At 39.4% G+C, this 16,319-nt stretch overlaps 1 protein-coding gene across 5 annotated transcripts in view; it reads right to left on the bottom strand.

The window, feature by feature from the left end:
* MAPRE2 (microtubule associated protein RP/EB family member 2) overlaps positions 1 to 16,319 on the bottom strand; it is a 166,444-nt gene that overhangs the window by 73,104 nt on the left and 77,021 nt on the right. For 4 of the 5 annotated variants that reach the window (NR_046177.2, NM_001143826.3, NM_001143827.3 and 1 more), the window contains one exon: positions 45 to 172. The exons of the other annotated variant lie outside the window; for it this stretch is intronic. Coding sequence is in view for 3 of the 4 variants with exons in the window: in NM_001143827.3 (NP_001137299.1) it covers positions 45 to 172 (128 nt within the window). In the remaining variant the exon portion in view is untranslated. The remainder of the gene's footprint in view (positions 1 to 44; positions 173 to 16,319) is intronic. 5 annotated transcript variants of the gene reach the window in all.

The raw sequence follows: 16,319 nt of genomic DNA, 5'->3' as shown, positions 1-16,319 counted from the left end.
AGACTGTAAATATTTAGGTAAACACTTAAAAGAATATGTCTTACCTGAACAAAGCTGTTCCACTTTTGTGTAGTTTAAAGATACTATGTCATTAACCCATGCAATGATGTCATGTCTGCTCATAGTCTCTTGGGTTATCGAGGTAGAATACACATTGACCGCCATTCCCCAACTAGAAAAAAAACAAAGTTTATTTAACAACAAGGAAATTAACTCAGAAACACAAAAGATACCTATTCGAGGTCAAGATCCTGGCAGGACTCCAGGGCATGTAAAAGTCCTGCTCTGGCTAAGCCCTTTAGCATCTTTTTCTATTTTACATATTTGCATTAAAATTATTAAATTTCACATATTTTTCATGCAGTACCATTTTATATCTCTCCAACTAAATCCAAATGTTCCTCAGGTTCTGAGATTCCTAATTTATAACACAATTTAGAGTCTCCCTTTTGACTGTAAGTCTACGTGTGATATTAAAAAGTTACCAGGTTTGTAGCAGTATACACCAGAGTAATCTGTTAGTTTCATACATTATTTCAGTACTCACTACAAAGACTTGGAAACGTTAGTGTTTTGGGGTTTGGCCATTCTAGTAGGTGTGCAGTGATAAAGGATTCTTTTTTTAATATTTAAACCTGGATGAAACTTTGCAATTTTACCTAGTTTGTGGAATATATATATATTGATATATTGTATATGTATGTTTATGTATATATTGTAGCTATGTATTAACTTCTATTTTGGAAACTTTCAAATACATGCAAAAGGAGAGAGAAGAGAATAACAAACCAGTTAGGTTTACCCCTTGGATTCAAGAATTATCAATACTTGACCATCTTGTTTGATTTATACTCCTATCAACTCCCCTTGTGTCAATCCCATCCTAGCCTACCAAGCCAGATTATTTTGGAGTAAGTGCCAATAATCACATAATTTCACCTATAAGTGTTTCAGTGTGTCTCTGAAAAATAATTTTTAAAAAAAACAGAATATTATCACACCTAAAAATGAAAATAATTACTTATATCAAATATGCATTTCAATATATTATAATACAAATTTAACTTCAGATTGCTTGAATCTGGATTCATATAAGGTTCATACATTATGATTCTTTGATACATTCTTTAAATTTCTTTATAAAGTTTCTTCTCTATTTCTAATCTTTCCTTGCAATTAAAAAAAAAGTTGTTGTTGAAGGAACTAGGTTGTCTGATAGTTTCCACATTCTGGATTTTTCTCATTGTATCACACTGCTGTGGTTTAACATGTTCCGCTGTCCTCTGCATCCCTACAGACTGATAATTCCATCTAGAGCCTTGATCTTATTCAAGTTCTAATGGGACGGGGATTTGATGCCATCTAGCACAACTCTGGGCTTTGACACCTAATCCTCCATCAATACACTGCCTGGTAATGCAAAAGCTTTCCATTACTGCCTGAAGAAGAAACCAATAGAACAGCCCATCAGCTGCCAAAGGTTATGCCAGTATATGACAATTGCATCAAACAGACTATTTCACGCCGTGTTTGAACTTCCATCAGAAGGCAGATAACTATTACCTCTGACTGCCTGCTTCCATGATATTGTTAGCTCTGATATTTGCCTAGATCCAATAATTCACTAAAACTTCAAATATTCTATTATTCATTCTTGATTTATTAGCTGGAATAATTCTACAAAGAGAAGTTTCCCCCTGAGGTACCCTGAGATACAGGTCATCGAGGAAAGGCAGGAGAGGTGCCTAACTCTTTTTCTCTATTTGCCAGTTTTCAAAGTGATGAGTAGTTCCCTAATATTCTCCAAACATGACCAATGAAGTTTTTGTTCTTATATTTTGAAGTATAATTATGAATCCATGGACTTAAACATATTTGATATGTTTCAATCCATTGAAATTATACCTTTATTGATAAAAGCTTGCAAGAGCTTATTCAAGCTAGCCTCTAAGTTCTTTTGACACAGTCTTAGTGGTCTTTGATAACCTTCTTCTTTTCCAATATGACGAGATGTTCCAAGGCCAACTTGTATATTTCTTGCCTCAGACCTAAAACCAGTAATTTCTCCAAGCGCTCCTGATTCCTTTTAGTGAAAAATGGTATTTACAGATATAGAAGTAATATTTTTAAACATGACTAGATATAATAGCAAAATCTATAGTATATAGGTTTTAGACAAAAATCTACATTTTATGAAATAGTTGTGTTTGGAGTTCCTATTTATGCTCATGAAAGCAATAAAAATCTGTTTTCTACTTTAAAGTGCTAAATGAAGGTTTCATTTAGAAATAAATGTAAAAATAAATATCTATCACTCCATTCCCAGAAGCACCCTTATCTCTAAATTGTCTTCTCGTAAGGATCTGAAAAATCTCACAGCATAGGAATCTCAGATAGTGTGACCATAATTACTGCTTTGTACACCATTATTGAAGGTTTTTTACTTTTTGGTTAATAACTTCCACTGTTTTCTTTAGTCTATCATTTATTAAACGAAACCATTTGCTTTTTAAATGTAGTCAATTTTTAAAATCATCTATGTAAATTATGTATAATCTTAGTAAGGGTAAATAATTCAAAATTTAAAATATTTTGGACTGATGAAATGATCATATACTGGCATAACTTTTGGCAGCTGATGGGCTTTTCTAGCGGTTTCTTCTTCAGGCAGTAATGGAAAGCTTCTGCATTACCGGGCAATGTACTGATGGAGGATGTGGTGTCGAGGCCCAGGGTTATGCTAGATGGCACCAAACCAAATTGAGATGAAATTTTTAATCAAGATGATTTAAAAAAAATCTAAATGCAAAGCAGAAAAGACACAAACAGATCTGTGTTTTAGAAAAATAACCCATACACAAGTGAGTAAAAACGTTCTGTGGTTACATAAGAGAAATTAATATACAACAGAAGTACAGGTAGAAGAGTAATGACAGCTTTTTAAAAATCCATATAAACAAGGAAGCAGGTCATTTGCTGCAGTTTGTCAATAAATCACACTTTCCTCCAGGTCTTTGCTGATAACATTCACTTAAGGACAACAATTGTCCTTTCATAATGTAAACAGACATTCAGCTCACAAAGGTAAGTCAAGGCACTATCTGCCTTCAAGCAGTTCATTAAGATGATCAGGTAAACAATGAAAACAGCACCAGATCTGGGCTTTAGAAAAATTCTGGGTACTTAGTTACCAGGCATACCACTCAAATCTCCACCATTGCTAGCCAACACAGCTGTAGTCCTCACAAGCCCTGTGGCAGGGGCTACCATGTGTTAAGGGACCTGTGGGATAACTAGTTTAGAAGACAGATTAAGAATAAGTGAACCAATGAAGGCAAGAAATTTTTCACCATTTCCTAAAATAAAATAACAACACATTAAATGAGTAGACTTCAATACCTACTTCAAATTAATAACAATGAAATCAATATAGTTAATTTCTATTTAACACCCCTGCTGATGGGAATATTCTTATAATCGATCTTCCTCTTTCCAAATTTCAGCAAGGTACTTCTAAGCGCACTTCACTCTGTGGCTGTCTTTGCTCCCAATGTTTGCCCCGAACCCAAACAAGCCAGCTTTTCCGATTTTAGGCCTGAGAGTTCTGAGTCTGGACTCACTTTCCCTGGAAGGGGAACTGTCCTGAACCTCCCGCAAGTGAAGTGTCAGCCAAAGTGGAAAAAGGATTCTATTCCTGCACTGCCATCCACCCTTTTGTTTTCCCAATTCTTTCAGCTCCTGCTTTTTCTACAGGTATGCTTTCCATATAGTTAAACTTAAATGATACAAGTGGCTACAACATTCACAGAACATTTATATATTTTTTCCAAATGTTAAACTCAGGTGAGAGAGTATTAAATTGTCCTAGTCCCTAGGTGGATACATTCTAAAATCCTAAGATTTCATTATGATTTCTGGGGTCTCAATCTATATGACAATATAAAGGTAAAAGTACTTGTCCCTACCTAGTCTGCAGAAATGCTGTGTGGATAACACAAGGAAATTTTATATCTTTTTAGAGATAAAGTGGTTCTATTGACCCTTGGAAGAATCCTGGGAGGAAAGCAGGGCAGGAATCATACTCTTCCCTTACAAAAGTGGACACAAACTTCAATTCACGACTGCTAGTCCTTAGGGATATTACCAATTACATCAACATCCTATGGAAGGTAGGAATTATACAATTCAAAAAGCTAATTTTTAATTCATGGAGTACTTCCCAAAGACTCAGTCAAGAAAGATAAATGGTTATGAAAGGTAAGGTCATACTAACTATTACAGAACAAGGAGCAACTCACTGTGCGGGGTTTATTCTCATGTTTGGATCTTCAGCATGTCTTTTACATGGAAACAACAGTTTATTCTTAGGTGACTTGCCACATGGCCTCTGGGACATGAGCATCTCTCTGTCCCATCCTTGCAAAGGAGAAAGTCAAAGCGCTGTCTCCCACTTTGTGGCTTTCAATTGGAATCTCAACCAGATCACTGTGTTGTTTAAGACCTGGTCAGTGCAGGCCAGGCGCGGTGGCTCATGCCTGTAATCCCAGCACTTTGGGAGGCCGAGGCGGGTGGATCACCTGAGGTCCGGAGTTCGAGACCAGCCTGGCCAACATGGCGAAATCCTGTCTCTACTAAAAATACAAAAATTAGCCAGGTTTGGTGGCATGCGCCTGTAGTCCCAGCTACTAGGGAGGCTGAGGCAGGAGAATCGCTTGAACCCGGTAGGCAGAGGTTGCAGTGAGTTGAGATTGGGCCACTGCACTCCAGCCTGGGTGACAGTGAAACTCCGTCTCAAAAAAAAATAAAAAAGATAAATAAATAAAAATAAAGATCTGGTCAGTGCAACAGCACAACAAGCAGGAGATAAGGGAGGAACACTTTCCTAGCACTGCAGTCCCTGGGTCACCACACTTTAATATTGTATTTAAATTTTATTTTAAAACAAATTTGCATTTATTGCCCCTACTTGAAAATAAACTAATAATCACAATATAGTTACACACTTTTTACATGAATATTAGAATAGCTTTCTTGGAAGGTGGGAATACACTTTTTGTTTTTTTTTTTTTGAGACAGAGTCCTACTCTGTCGCCCAGGCTGGAGTGCAGCAGCGCGATCTTGGCTCACTGCAACGTCTACCTCCCTGGTTCAAGCAATTCCCCTGCTTCAGCCTCCCAAATAGCTGGGATTGCAGGCACATGCCACCACGCCCAGCTAATTTTTTTGGTATTTTTAGTACAGACAGGGTTTCACCATGTTGGCCAGACTGGTCTGGAACTCCTGACCTCAGGCCATCTGCCCACCTTGGCCTCCCAAAGTGCTGGGATTACAGGCGTGAGCCACCACACCCAGCTGGTTTTTTGTTTTGTTTTGCAAACAGAAGAGAGAAAAACACACAGAAAAAACAAAAATCCCTTCAGACCTCTAGCAGGCAAAGTCACGATTCTAGCTTGTCTGTGGATAGTGACCACTGATACACATGACTTTAGAAAAAGGAAAGCCTCCAGCTGAGGGCCAATGTGTAGATTTTGCTCAGTTTCATCCTTTATTCAGTATTTGGCGGTGGTGTTGGGTGGAGAGGTACAGCAAGGTTATGCTTTGCAGTAGTGATTGAATCAGACACATTAGACACTGTATTTCTGCTTACTACAATAAATGGAGTTTTATGTGAGTCAATGAGACCTGAGTTAGCCTACTGAGCAAAATATGAATTCTACCACCTTTACCAGTTCTGCACCTAAAGCTTAACTACAAAATACTCAACAATTTTGTTCAAGAACAAATTTGGCAAGGTTTGTGAATTATTCCAGAGAAGTGGCTCTTCAAAATTAAGCAAATATATAATATGTGCTAGCTAGCATTATGAGTGTTAACTGAAATTATTTCCTATGTAATTCATTTTGTCTCTCTGCCCTGCCCCACCCCTTGCAAACACACTATCAGCCATACTTCAGGGGAGGGGGCTGCCTGTCCTCATTTTCTCTTTTCACACTTCACCGATCACTCATTTTGGAGGACAAAACAGTATATATACATATATGTATATTTTTTCCAGCAGGTTTCATGATAGGCCAGTTGTTGTCCCGGGATCTGGCTCTGGTCCCATTTGAGGTGTGTGGCTATAAGGAAAAGGGTTTAATGTGGAACCTATTTTGATTTTTTTTTTTTTGAAATGAGGCTTTGCTCTGTTGTTCAGGCTGGAGTGCAGTCCAGGCTGGAATGCAGTGGTGAGATCTTGGCTCACAACCTCTGCCTCCTGGGCCCAAGCAATCCTACTGTATCAGCATCCCTGAGTAGCTGGGACCACAGGTGTGAACCATCACGTTGGCCAGATTTTTTTTTTTTTTTTTTTTTTTTTTTTTTTTTAAAGAGACAGGGTCTCACTCGGCAGTCCAGGCTGGAGTGCAGTGGTGCCATCATAGCTCACTGCAGGCTCAATCTCCTGGGCTAAAGCAATGCTCTTAGCTCAGCCTCTCAAGAAGCTGGGACTACAGGCGTGTGCCACCACTCCCAGCTTACTTTTCATTTTTTTGTAGAGACAGGGGTCTCACTATGTTGCATAGGCTGATCATGAATTCCTGGGCTCAAAAAGTAATCCTTCTGTCTTGGGCTCCCAAAGTGCTAGGATTACAGGCGTGAGCCACAGTACCCAGCCTGACTTTTTTGTTTTTATATCATCTAAAGTCTGAGTTTACCAAACTTCCCAAATTCAGGCAAGTTCATCTGCAGAAGAACAGCCTCCATAAGTGGTTGACTGCTATCTGCTGCGCTGCAAGGAGACCCCATTTGGCCTGGATTTACTTATACCAAACCCACTTGGAGGCTGAGCCTTTAAAGGGCCTTTTGGATTTAAGCTACCTTCTTCTCCTTTTTTTTTTTTTTAAGTTACCTTCTTTATGTCACTCCTTAAAGGAGTCCACATTCAACTGGAAACTTCATGTTCAACATAAAATGTTCTGAGGCCGGGCGCAGTGGCTCACGCCTGTAATCCCAGCACTTTGGGAGGACAAGGCGGGCGGATCACGAGGTCAGGAGATCAAGACCATCCTGGCTAACACGGTGAAACCCCATCTCTACTAAAAATACAAAAAAAAAATTAGCCAGGCGTGGTGGTGTGCGCCTGTAGTCCCAGCTACTCAGGAGGCTGAGGCAGGAGAATGGCGTGAACCCAGGAGGTGGAGCTTGCAGTGAGCCGAGATCGCGCCACTGCACTCCGGCCTGGGCGACAGAGTGAGACTCCATCTCAAAAAAAAAACAACAACAAAAGTTCTGAAAGTTCAACCCACCGCATGCCAATGTACTCTGTTCACACATGTTGCAGTGACAACCATACCCATATGTGTGATATGTGTGACTGTCTTTCTTTTCTCTCATAACAATCTCTATTTTCAACATGTTCTCCCATCACTGGGGAAAGTAATCCACTACCAACAGTTTAGGGTAAATACATGCAGTGCATTCTTCACCCAGTTTCACATAAATGAAACAACGAGCAGACTAGAAGAGAGATATAAAGAAAAAGTATATTTTTCTTTCACCTAAGAAACTTATTTCTTTGGGCTTGAGCATATAATGATTTCTGAATTTCTTATAACCCAAGTGGTTTATTAAGGTAATGGTTAGAAATATCGATGCTTCCTTGGAAATTAAGTCCAACTGACTAGGTGTTTGAGATCCTTTCAAAGTGTTTCTACACATGCCAACAGGGGAGAAGGACCTGTGATCCAAAAGAATGGCTTTCTTTGCCAGTCACTGGACTTTCGCTCGGTCCAGGTCAAGGCCACACTGTCAGTTCTCATTTCACAGAGTTGTTCCTGGTTAAAGGTTTTAGGATTGCCAAAGTTGGCCTGTTCCAGCATAGCAGGTAAAGTGAGGTGCATTATTTCAAATGCGCTTGTAAAGAAGGCTTTTTACTTAGAAGAATTTTGTGTTATTCTAACAGAAATAGCCGTTTTGTAAACATTTCTAAGTATCTGCAAATATTATGAGAATTTAAAAAGAGATTTATCAATCACCAATATTTTCTTCTCTTAGAAGTGGCATCTTTCTAAAATAACCTGCAAATTGTACATTCATGCCCACAGATTAAATACTTAGCCAAAGGAAGAAACCTCAAAAGTTTTTCTCAAAGACTACTTCTGCATTAGAATATATGTTATCCTCCGGAGGGGAATGAAGATATTCAGTCCCATCACAGACATCCCCCCAAACGTCTTTTCCTCTGAAAAGCCTTGTAAACACAGATCCTGCCTGCGTGCCTCCTTCCCAGCGTCCTCACCACAAAAGGCTGATGTTAAATCTCCCACAGCCTCCCCTAATAATGAACTGGGCTTCCATAGGGAGGGACAGTGTAAATGTGTCTCCTGAACCAGAAATATCCCGCTTTTCATCTGCGCATAATTCATTCTCTAGGTTCAATACCTCGAGAGGCAGGATTTAAACATTTCACCCAAGGAAAGAATATCACCAGATCATTCTAGATTCATCACTTTCTCTTTATTTGTGACCTGCAATGTGGGGCACAGAGAAAGTATTTGTTTGAGGAGGGAGATCAGGATGGAGCAAAGAGGGAGTCAAAGAGGGTGTCTCTGAAAGACAAACCTTGACAGGATAAAATCTCCTGGAGAGAGATTACAGGAACTATGGAGTTTCGCCTAAAACTGGGTATTAAAGCTTCTGTTTAACTTGTGGACTAATTGCCGTATGCATGGATTCTAGGGCTGGAATGGGAATTTAAGAAGTCATTTATTGTCTCCAGGTAATAGCACACATAAGCTGCTGTGGGCAGACCTGCACGTATTTTATTTTTACGGGGCTCTATGACTGTGATGGGATTAGACAGACAATGCAAGACCAACTCCTCCAGGCACAGACCCTCCCTGCGGCCGGGCCTCTCCATGTGGCAGGGGTGTGAGCACGGAACTGACTTCACACAAGGATGATGGAGAAATATCAGGACACTGTCCATATGACAACATGCACATACTTTATTAAAATATAGACACTGAAATATACTATTTTTTTCTCTCAAAATTAGGCATTGATGGTTTAGAACTAGTGAAGAAGACCAATGTAAGAATCTTCAAAACTATGCTGTTTAGAGGAAGATGAGATAAATGTGAGTTTTATCAGGTTTGAGGTGCTTGCTCTCTACTGCAGGCTTTTCCAGGCTGCCTATCATTCCAATATGAATGTGCTCTTCATTATCAGTCACTTCTTAATGATAATGCTTTTAATGTGCATACAAAGTTCCATTTAGTCTGACAATCAGAACTCCTAACGACAGCTAATAACTGCCACCTCCAAGAGAGAATGAACATAAAAATAATACTCTTTTTCAGGGTGCCCATCCCTTTTACCATTAATGATTATTTTTCAAAACACGGAGATTAAGCTCTTTCTTGCCATATCACCAAGTATTCTACATATGTTTTAAGAAAAAAAACCAACAGAATATCATTAAAACACAGGTGTCTCCAACCGCCTACAATAGGACATTCCGTAAGTCACCTTGAAAATCAACTCCATTTTTAACAGCCTCATTGTTATTTATCTGCATTAACCTCATCCACTACTATTCATTAGGCAGCTCCTTGCATACAGGGCTTAGTTTGGCTAGCCACCCTATCGTAACTAAACAAAAAAGACAAACTTTCAAAACAGCATATACGGGTGGATTTTTGTTTTGTTTTCTAAACTCAGACTTAACAAGTCAATAGCTACAGCCCTGAAATGACTTGGAAATTTGGCTCCTATCCAGGGTATGACAAAATTTTGGAATTCTAAAAAAGTTCTTTGTAGCATTCATAACGTCCATGGATATGAATGAAACTTGACATGTACAATGAGAGAGTAAAAGGCTAACCCTTCCCTGCCCCACATAGACATACGCTTCTTCATATGGTCAGAAATGCAGCTGATTATATTTGCCTAAATGTCCATCTGTTTCTAGCAGTGGGTGGCTTCGTCCATGCTCTGAAAATAATTTCAATGACCTAGAGCTCATTCCCATGCCACAGGGCTTGGCTGGTCTCCTCAGGGCACCAACTTTTCTCAGTACCCCCTCCCCCGCCAACTCAGCTCCCAGCACATCCACTCCTTCTTGACCATATGCCTTCTGTTTACTTTCCCAGCCCTACTTGGCCTCGTTCCCTCTTACCCTGACCTTAGCTCTTTCCCATGATCCCAGGTCTTTTCCAGTCATGCCCACGCTGCCCCCAACGAGCAGGGCCCTGGGTCAACCTTTCAGGACATAGGTGCTGCTGGTACCATAGTGGGTGGTCATGCTCAGTTGTTAGTCCACTGCATAAAATCAGGCGCATGCAATATAGCAGAAGCATATGCGGTCATCAAACAATCATGCTGCCACTAGGCAAAGTCCTGTGGTGCACACATTTTGTAGGAGTGGTCCCCACCTCCTGGTTCTGAGCTCTCTTGTACTCTTGGTGGTGCTAGTTCCTTCTCAGGTACTTCGGTGTCTGCTTTTTCTAAATCTTCTCATAATAAGAAACAAATGACAGAGCAAAGCCTCAAGTTTCATCCTTAGGGATAACTGGGGCTCAAGACCTCATGCCACGGAAGAGCAGCTTGTTCCAGCACTTGGCAGGGTTGGCTGCATCTCATGCTTCAGGTTTGGCTCAAATGTCAACTCCCCAGTGAACCCTCCATGCCCACTTCTGAAGTGGCCGCTTCCAGTTACTCCCACATCTCTCTACTCTGCCCTCGGTGATACTAACACCATTGGTAATTATCTTGTTTGTTTACCATCTGTCCACTCCTCTTGCCCCCAGGATGTAAGCTCTATGAAGGCAGAAACTTTATAGAATATGTTTTGTTTACAGCTTTATCTCCTGTGTCTGGAACTGTGTGTGGCACACAGTAGGTACACAATAAATAAATGCTGAATGAATGCAAACAAAGGTGTGCCAAATCATACAAAAGGCAAATATCAATACGTGCCCCTAGTGCTATGTGAGATGGCTAGGAACAGACTAGGGTTGAGTGAATTAAAGGACCCTGTCTTCTAGGCATTTTTTTTTTTTTAAAGGTGAGTAGGGAAATGTCTGGAACACAGATACCAAAAGCTCCCTAGCTGCCCTGCAGCTTAATGAGAGCTCTGTTCTAGGCATCAGGGGCAGCAGCTTCTAGTTCCAGAACTATCAACCAGTTGGATAAATGTGGGCACATGTGTCTCAACTCTTTGGGATCTCCTTTTCTTCACTAGTAAACAAGGGGAACTAGATTAGAAGTTACAATAACTAATATTTATTGAAAACTTTCCACATGCCTAATGAAAGAGTAAAACAGGAATTTTTTAATTTAATCTTTGCAACAATGCCATGTGATCACTGCTGCTTTTATGTTATGTAGGAAAAGATACAGACTCGGAGAGGTTTAGTGACTTGTCTAGTCACCATTATTAAGTGGCAAAGCAGGGATTTGGACCTAGGATGAATTCCAGGATTCTTGCTTTTAATTGAGACTCTCCCTGCTCTTGTGTTTATGTCATGAGATTAAGCAGGAAGAAAAAATAATTCCAAGTGAGGACACAATTGTGGTCTTTAATAAAGCCATTTTGTCTTTTTAAATTCTACCAAGATCTCATTTTACATTTTCACTTTAACCAAGATGATTTTAAGTTTCTGTGAAGAAAAGCTCAAAATGTAGAGATTTGGGTGGCTAGTTACTCAGTTTATCGCTGGGAATGAATTTTTGGCTGGCAAATCTGCCAGCTGTAACATATAAGGTATGTTAATATCGTAGGAGTCATCACATCGTGCATTTCTAGTTACTACAGATTTGAGGTTCAAGCCTCTCAATTTGCTTTTTGTGGTAAATTAGTCAAAATGGACAGAGACCATGTACATTATACTGCTTATAATTTTTTCAAAGCTAATGAAAGACTTCAGATTGGTATCTTGACTATGTGTTTAGAAAAAGCTATTCCTTAAAAAAAAATAGACAAGCCTCTCAGTATTCTACTCTTAGAGATTGGTGCCTATCCAAAGGTCTGTATTTACATTATGGTAAAATTGATTTTTAAACTCATGAGAACATTTTGAAATGAAAATGGAAAATGAAGTACCAATAAAATTAAGCTTATTAACAGGACAAGGGAAGTACAGGCCAGTGGCAAAAAATATTCCAGTGAATCTGACTCCAAAAGACATCCTTATGCCCCCAGCCATATTTGTGCTTATCTACTCTTCTTAATTATTTCCATAGTAGACTCTGACACAGAATCAAAATTGAAAACTTCAAACTGGGAAATAGCACAACATTAAACTTAACTCCTTGGGTTCAGTTGGCAAGGTACTGATCTGCCTCTACATCAAACCCATGCTCCAGCCCCAAAGAAGAAACTGCAAATTATATACAAGACAGGTTCTCTCCTGCACTTTATGATGAGTAGCAAATGGAAATTTTGGTCATTGCTACAGCTGAGCTAAGATAAACGATGTTCAGCTAAGTTGGTGGAGCAGTGGGGAAATACTATCAAAACTAGGAGCATTATTTCACTACCAGCTTCGTAGGGCATCGTCCCCAAAACTTCTTTTCCCATGTGAAATGATTCTCTCATTTCAGCCAGAGAATGGATTTCCCTGTATCTTCTTAAAATTCCATCCCAGGATCAGAGTTCATCCTTCTTTTCCCTTCCCTATTCTTCTGGTACTCTTGTTTGGGCAACCAGATACCATCATTGTATATATTGTATATGGAACAGAAGAAGAATTTTTTAAATCAATAAACATCTTTATTTATTTACTGGAATGAAGAATGAACTGACAGACTTTTGCATTAGAAGTACCTAGCAGCCCCTGACAAATATCAGTTTACACACACACACACACACACACACGCACACACTCCTTGCAGTATCTCTCTGCTCTCCTTCTCTACTACCTTGTCACAGGTCAAACGTAAAGTTACAACATTTCTAGCATCAGTGTAATATCACTACAATTTTCAAAGGGAAGTACAGAAACTGAGCATTCCAGTAAAAAGCAGATAAAAATTGTGCCATGTTTGAACCAAATCAGGTATAGAAATAACAGAGGGCATGGTGGCTCATGCCTGTAATACTAGCGCTTTGGGAGGCTGAGGCGGGTTGATCACCTGAGGTCAGGAGTTCGAGACCAGCCTGGCCAACGTGGAGAAACCCCATCTCTACTAAAAATACAAAAATGAGCCAGACATGTTGGCATGTGTCTGTAATCCCAGTTACTTGGGAGGCTGAGGCAGGAGAATACCTTGAACCAGGGGGGCGGAGGATGCAGTGAGCTGAGATTGCGCCATTGCACACCAGCCTGGGCAACAAGAGTGAAACTCTGTTTCAAAACAAAACAAACAAACAAAAAAACAGAGGGGCAGATACATGGTAAGACCATGGGTTTGGGAAGGACAGTGGAAGCAGGGAAGCTTTTTGAACTGCAGTCTCCTCTTTAGATTCTGCAGCGCTATGCTATGAGGACTTACAGGAGCAAAGGACAAAATTTTTAATACAGTATACTGCAGTAGTTTAACAAATGTTAGGGATAGGGGTCATTACTGAATTGAGAATGTTTTGTTAAACTTGGGATAAAGACAGAACAGTAACAATTAGTTAATAAGCATTCAAAGATAATTAAGAAAAAGGAAATTACCACAAGACCTAGTAAACTTTTTGACTAAATAACTAGAGATGTTACTATAGGCACAAATGTCTAAATAAGAAGGGTCAGTGGATGAAGTAGTTCTAGAGTAGATACATGTGTTAAAAGTTACCCAGTATTTGAGCCAATTTGAACAGATGAAATTTAAAAATTTGGTAAAGTCCCTCCCCATCCTGCCTCCATACCGAGTTTCTAGGTTCCTAGGGTTAGAGACTTTAAAAACATTTTTAAGGAAAAAAAGGTTTGAGTTCAGCAATTGAGTAAGAATTATAAGTTTTCTTTTCTTTTTTTGGCTTTCCAAACCTAAACCAAAAACCTGACAATCACACTGGTTGATTCAATGTCTCAAAAACCTATTTTACTTTATATTATTTCAGCTTTAGCTATTGTTATAATAATAAGCATAATAAACATTTAATATCACAAATATATTAATGGGTTCATTATGTATATTTATATATGTATAATGCTACAAAGGATTAATTATTTAAAGTTAAAATATTTCATTAAAGTTGGATGAGGCAAAGTAACAACAAACTTAAAGTAGGATGCTAGTAAAAATAAAAATCTACAATTTTTTTAAGATGTCAAAGTGCTACTGTTTATTCAAAAAGCCAGATTTTTCTATTAAAAAAATCTGTCCATTTTCACTAATGCAGAAAATACAGATAAAAAATAAAATTAAAATTTCCACTGTTCCATCACCCAGTTATAACACTCATATTCATATCTTCCTAAACATCTTTTTTTTTTTTTTTTGAGACAAGAGTCTTGCTGTGTCACCCAGGCTGCAGTGCAGTTGCATGATCTCGGCTCACTGCAACTTCTGCCTCCTGGATTTAAGTGATTCTCCTGCCCCAGCCTCCCCAGTAGGTAGGATTACAGGCTGGCACCACCACACCTGGCTAATTTTTGTATTCTTAGTAGAGACAAGGTTTCACCATGTTGGCCAGGCTGGCTGGTCTTGAACTGCTAACCTCATGATCCGCCCACCTCGGCCTCCCAAAGGGCTAGGATTACAGGCGTGAGCCACCACATCTGGCCCTAAACATCTTTTATGTGTGTCTGGTGAGGGGTACCTGTGTGTATGTGTTTCACACATACAGTTATTTATAAAAATGGGTTCATATGTATACACACACACACACATACACACACACACACACACACACACACAGAGAACTGAATAGTGTCCCTGCAAGATTCATATCCACCTGGAACCTCAGATTATGACTTTATTTGGAAAAAGGTCTTTGCAGATATGATTAGTTAAGGTGAGGATATACTGGATTAAGGTGGGCCCTCCAATGACTGGTTCCTTAAAAGACGACCATGTAAAAAACACAGATGAAGAAGGCCAGGTGATAATGAAAGGCAGAGATGGGCGTGATGAAGCTGCAAGCCAAGGAGCACATGGGGGCCAAAAGAAGCGGGAAGAGACAAGGAAGGGTCTCCCAGAGCTGTTGGAGGGAGCATGGCCTTACTAACACCTTGGTTTTAGACTTCTAGCCTCCGGCATCACAACTGTGAGAGGATCAATTTGAAGCCGCCCGGTTTGTGGTAATTTGTTATGGGAGCCCTGGAAAACTAATATAATCCATATAAACGTTTGTAATAATCATCTTGCTTCTGTTAACATTGGTACATTTGTGAACTTTTTTCATATTTTCTTCACATGTAATATTTGTATAATACTTAACCGTATAGGTATACCACAGTATACTAGATTTCAGAATTTTATTTTAACATCCTTAATTTCAAGAACTTCGACTTCGGTCATTTCCCCTCTTTGGTTCATTATTATTTCAAGCCAATAGAACTGACGGTCACTTCATTGCGAACTATGACCAAATCATCTCTGCCTTACATAAAAAGATTTTCCAATGTCTTCATGTGATTTTGCAGGGGCTTAGTTGTTTGCTAGTTAAGAGTCCTAAAAGCCAAATGGACATCATCATCTAGGCTCCCTTGTTAACAGGAAAAAAACCAAGTAATCATCTTATCAAAAAAAAGAAACAAACAAACAAAAAAACCCACACATCCTTGGCCATCGTAAACTAAGGGAATCACAGGATGTCCTGTCTATTAGTATTTGGCTTCCGTTCACGGCACATCCTCAAATCAAAAAGAACACTCGCAACTCTCAAGGGATCCTTGAGTGGCTGTGGTCCACTCAGTCCCAACCAGAACAGAGAGAATCATCTGACTGCCGCCACCATGGAGGCAGCGACTCACCTGAAATTCGGCCTGAACCTTTTGGCAATAAAATGAATAAATGTTAAACGAAATAAGTGGCACCCACGAAATCTAGTAGTAGGCCTAGGACATTTGTGAAATCATTAGTGAACTTAAACTTTGCATTTTTGGATTTTGAAACATATGTAGTTAAGAAACTGGCTTTTAGCTGGAAAGATTTCTGAACAGATTCTGGGAGCCAAGGATCCTCATCTTCTCCAAAACGAGGTCCCTCAGTCGATCCTTTTAGGCAAACCTATGACCTTACTAAGCTTTTGTTTCCCAGTCTCTAAATTTTACTTGAGACAATTTCTTCTTAGGGAGTTAGAGAAGTCAGGAGCAAAACAACAACAAAACTGCCAAATTAGATGGAATGGGAATGGAAAGAGATCAAGTTTAGGGATCTTCACCACAAAAATTTTTAAAAGGGGG

The sequence above is a fragment of the Homo sapiens genome, chromosome 18, assembly GCF_000001405.40.
Source record: "Homo sapiens chromosome 18, GRCh38.p14 Primary Assembly".
In the NCBI taxonomy this organism is placed as follows: domain Eukaryota; kingdom Metazoa; phylum Chordata; class Mammalia; order Primates; family Hominidae; genus Homo; species Homo sapiens.
Note: the sequence above shows the minus strand (reverse complement) of the source record. Positions and strands in the feature narration are given on the sequence as shown.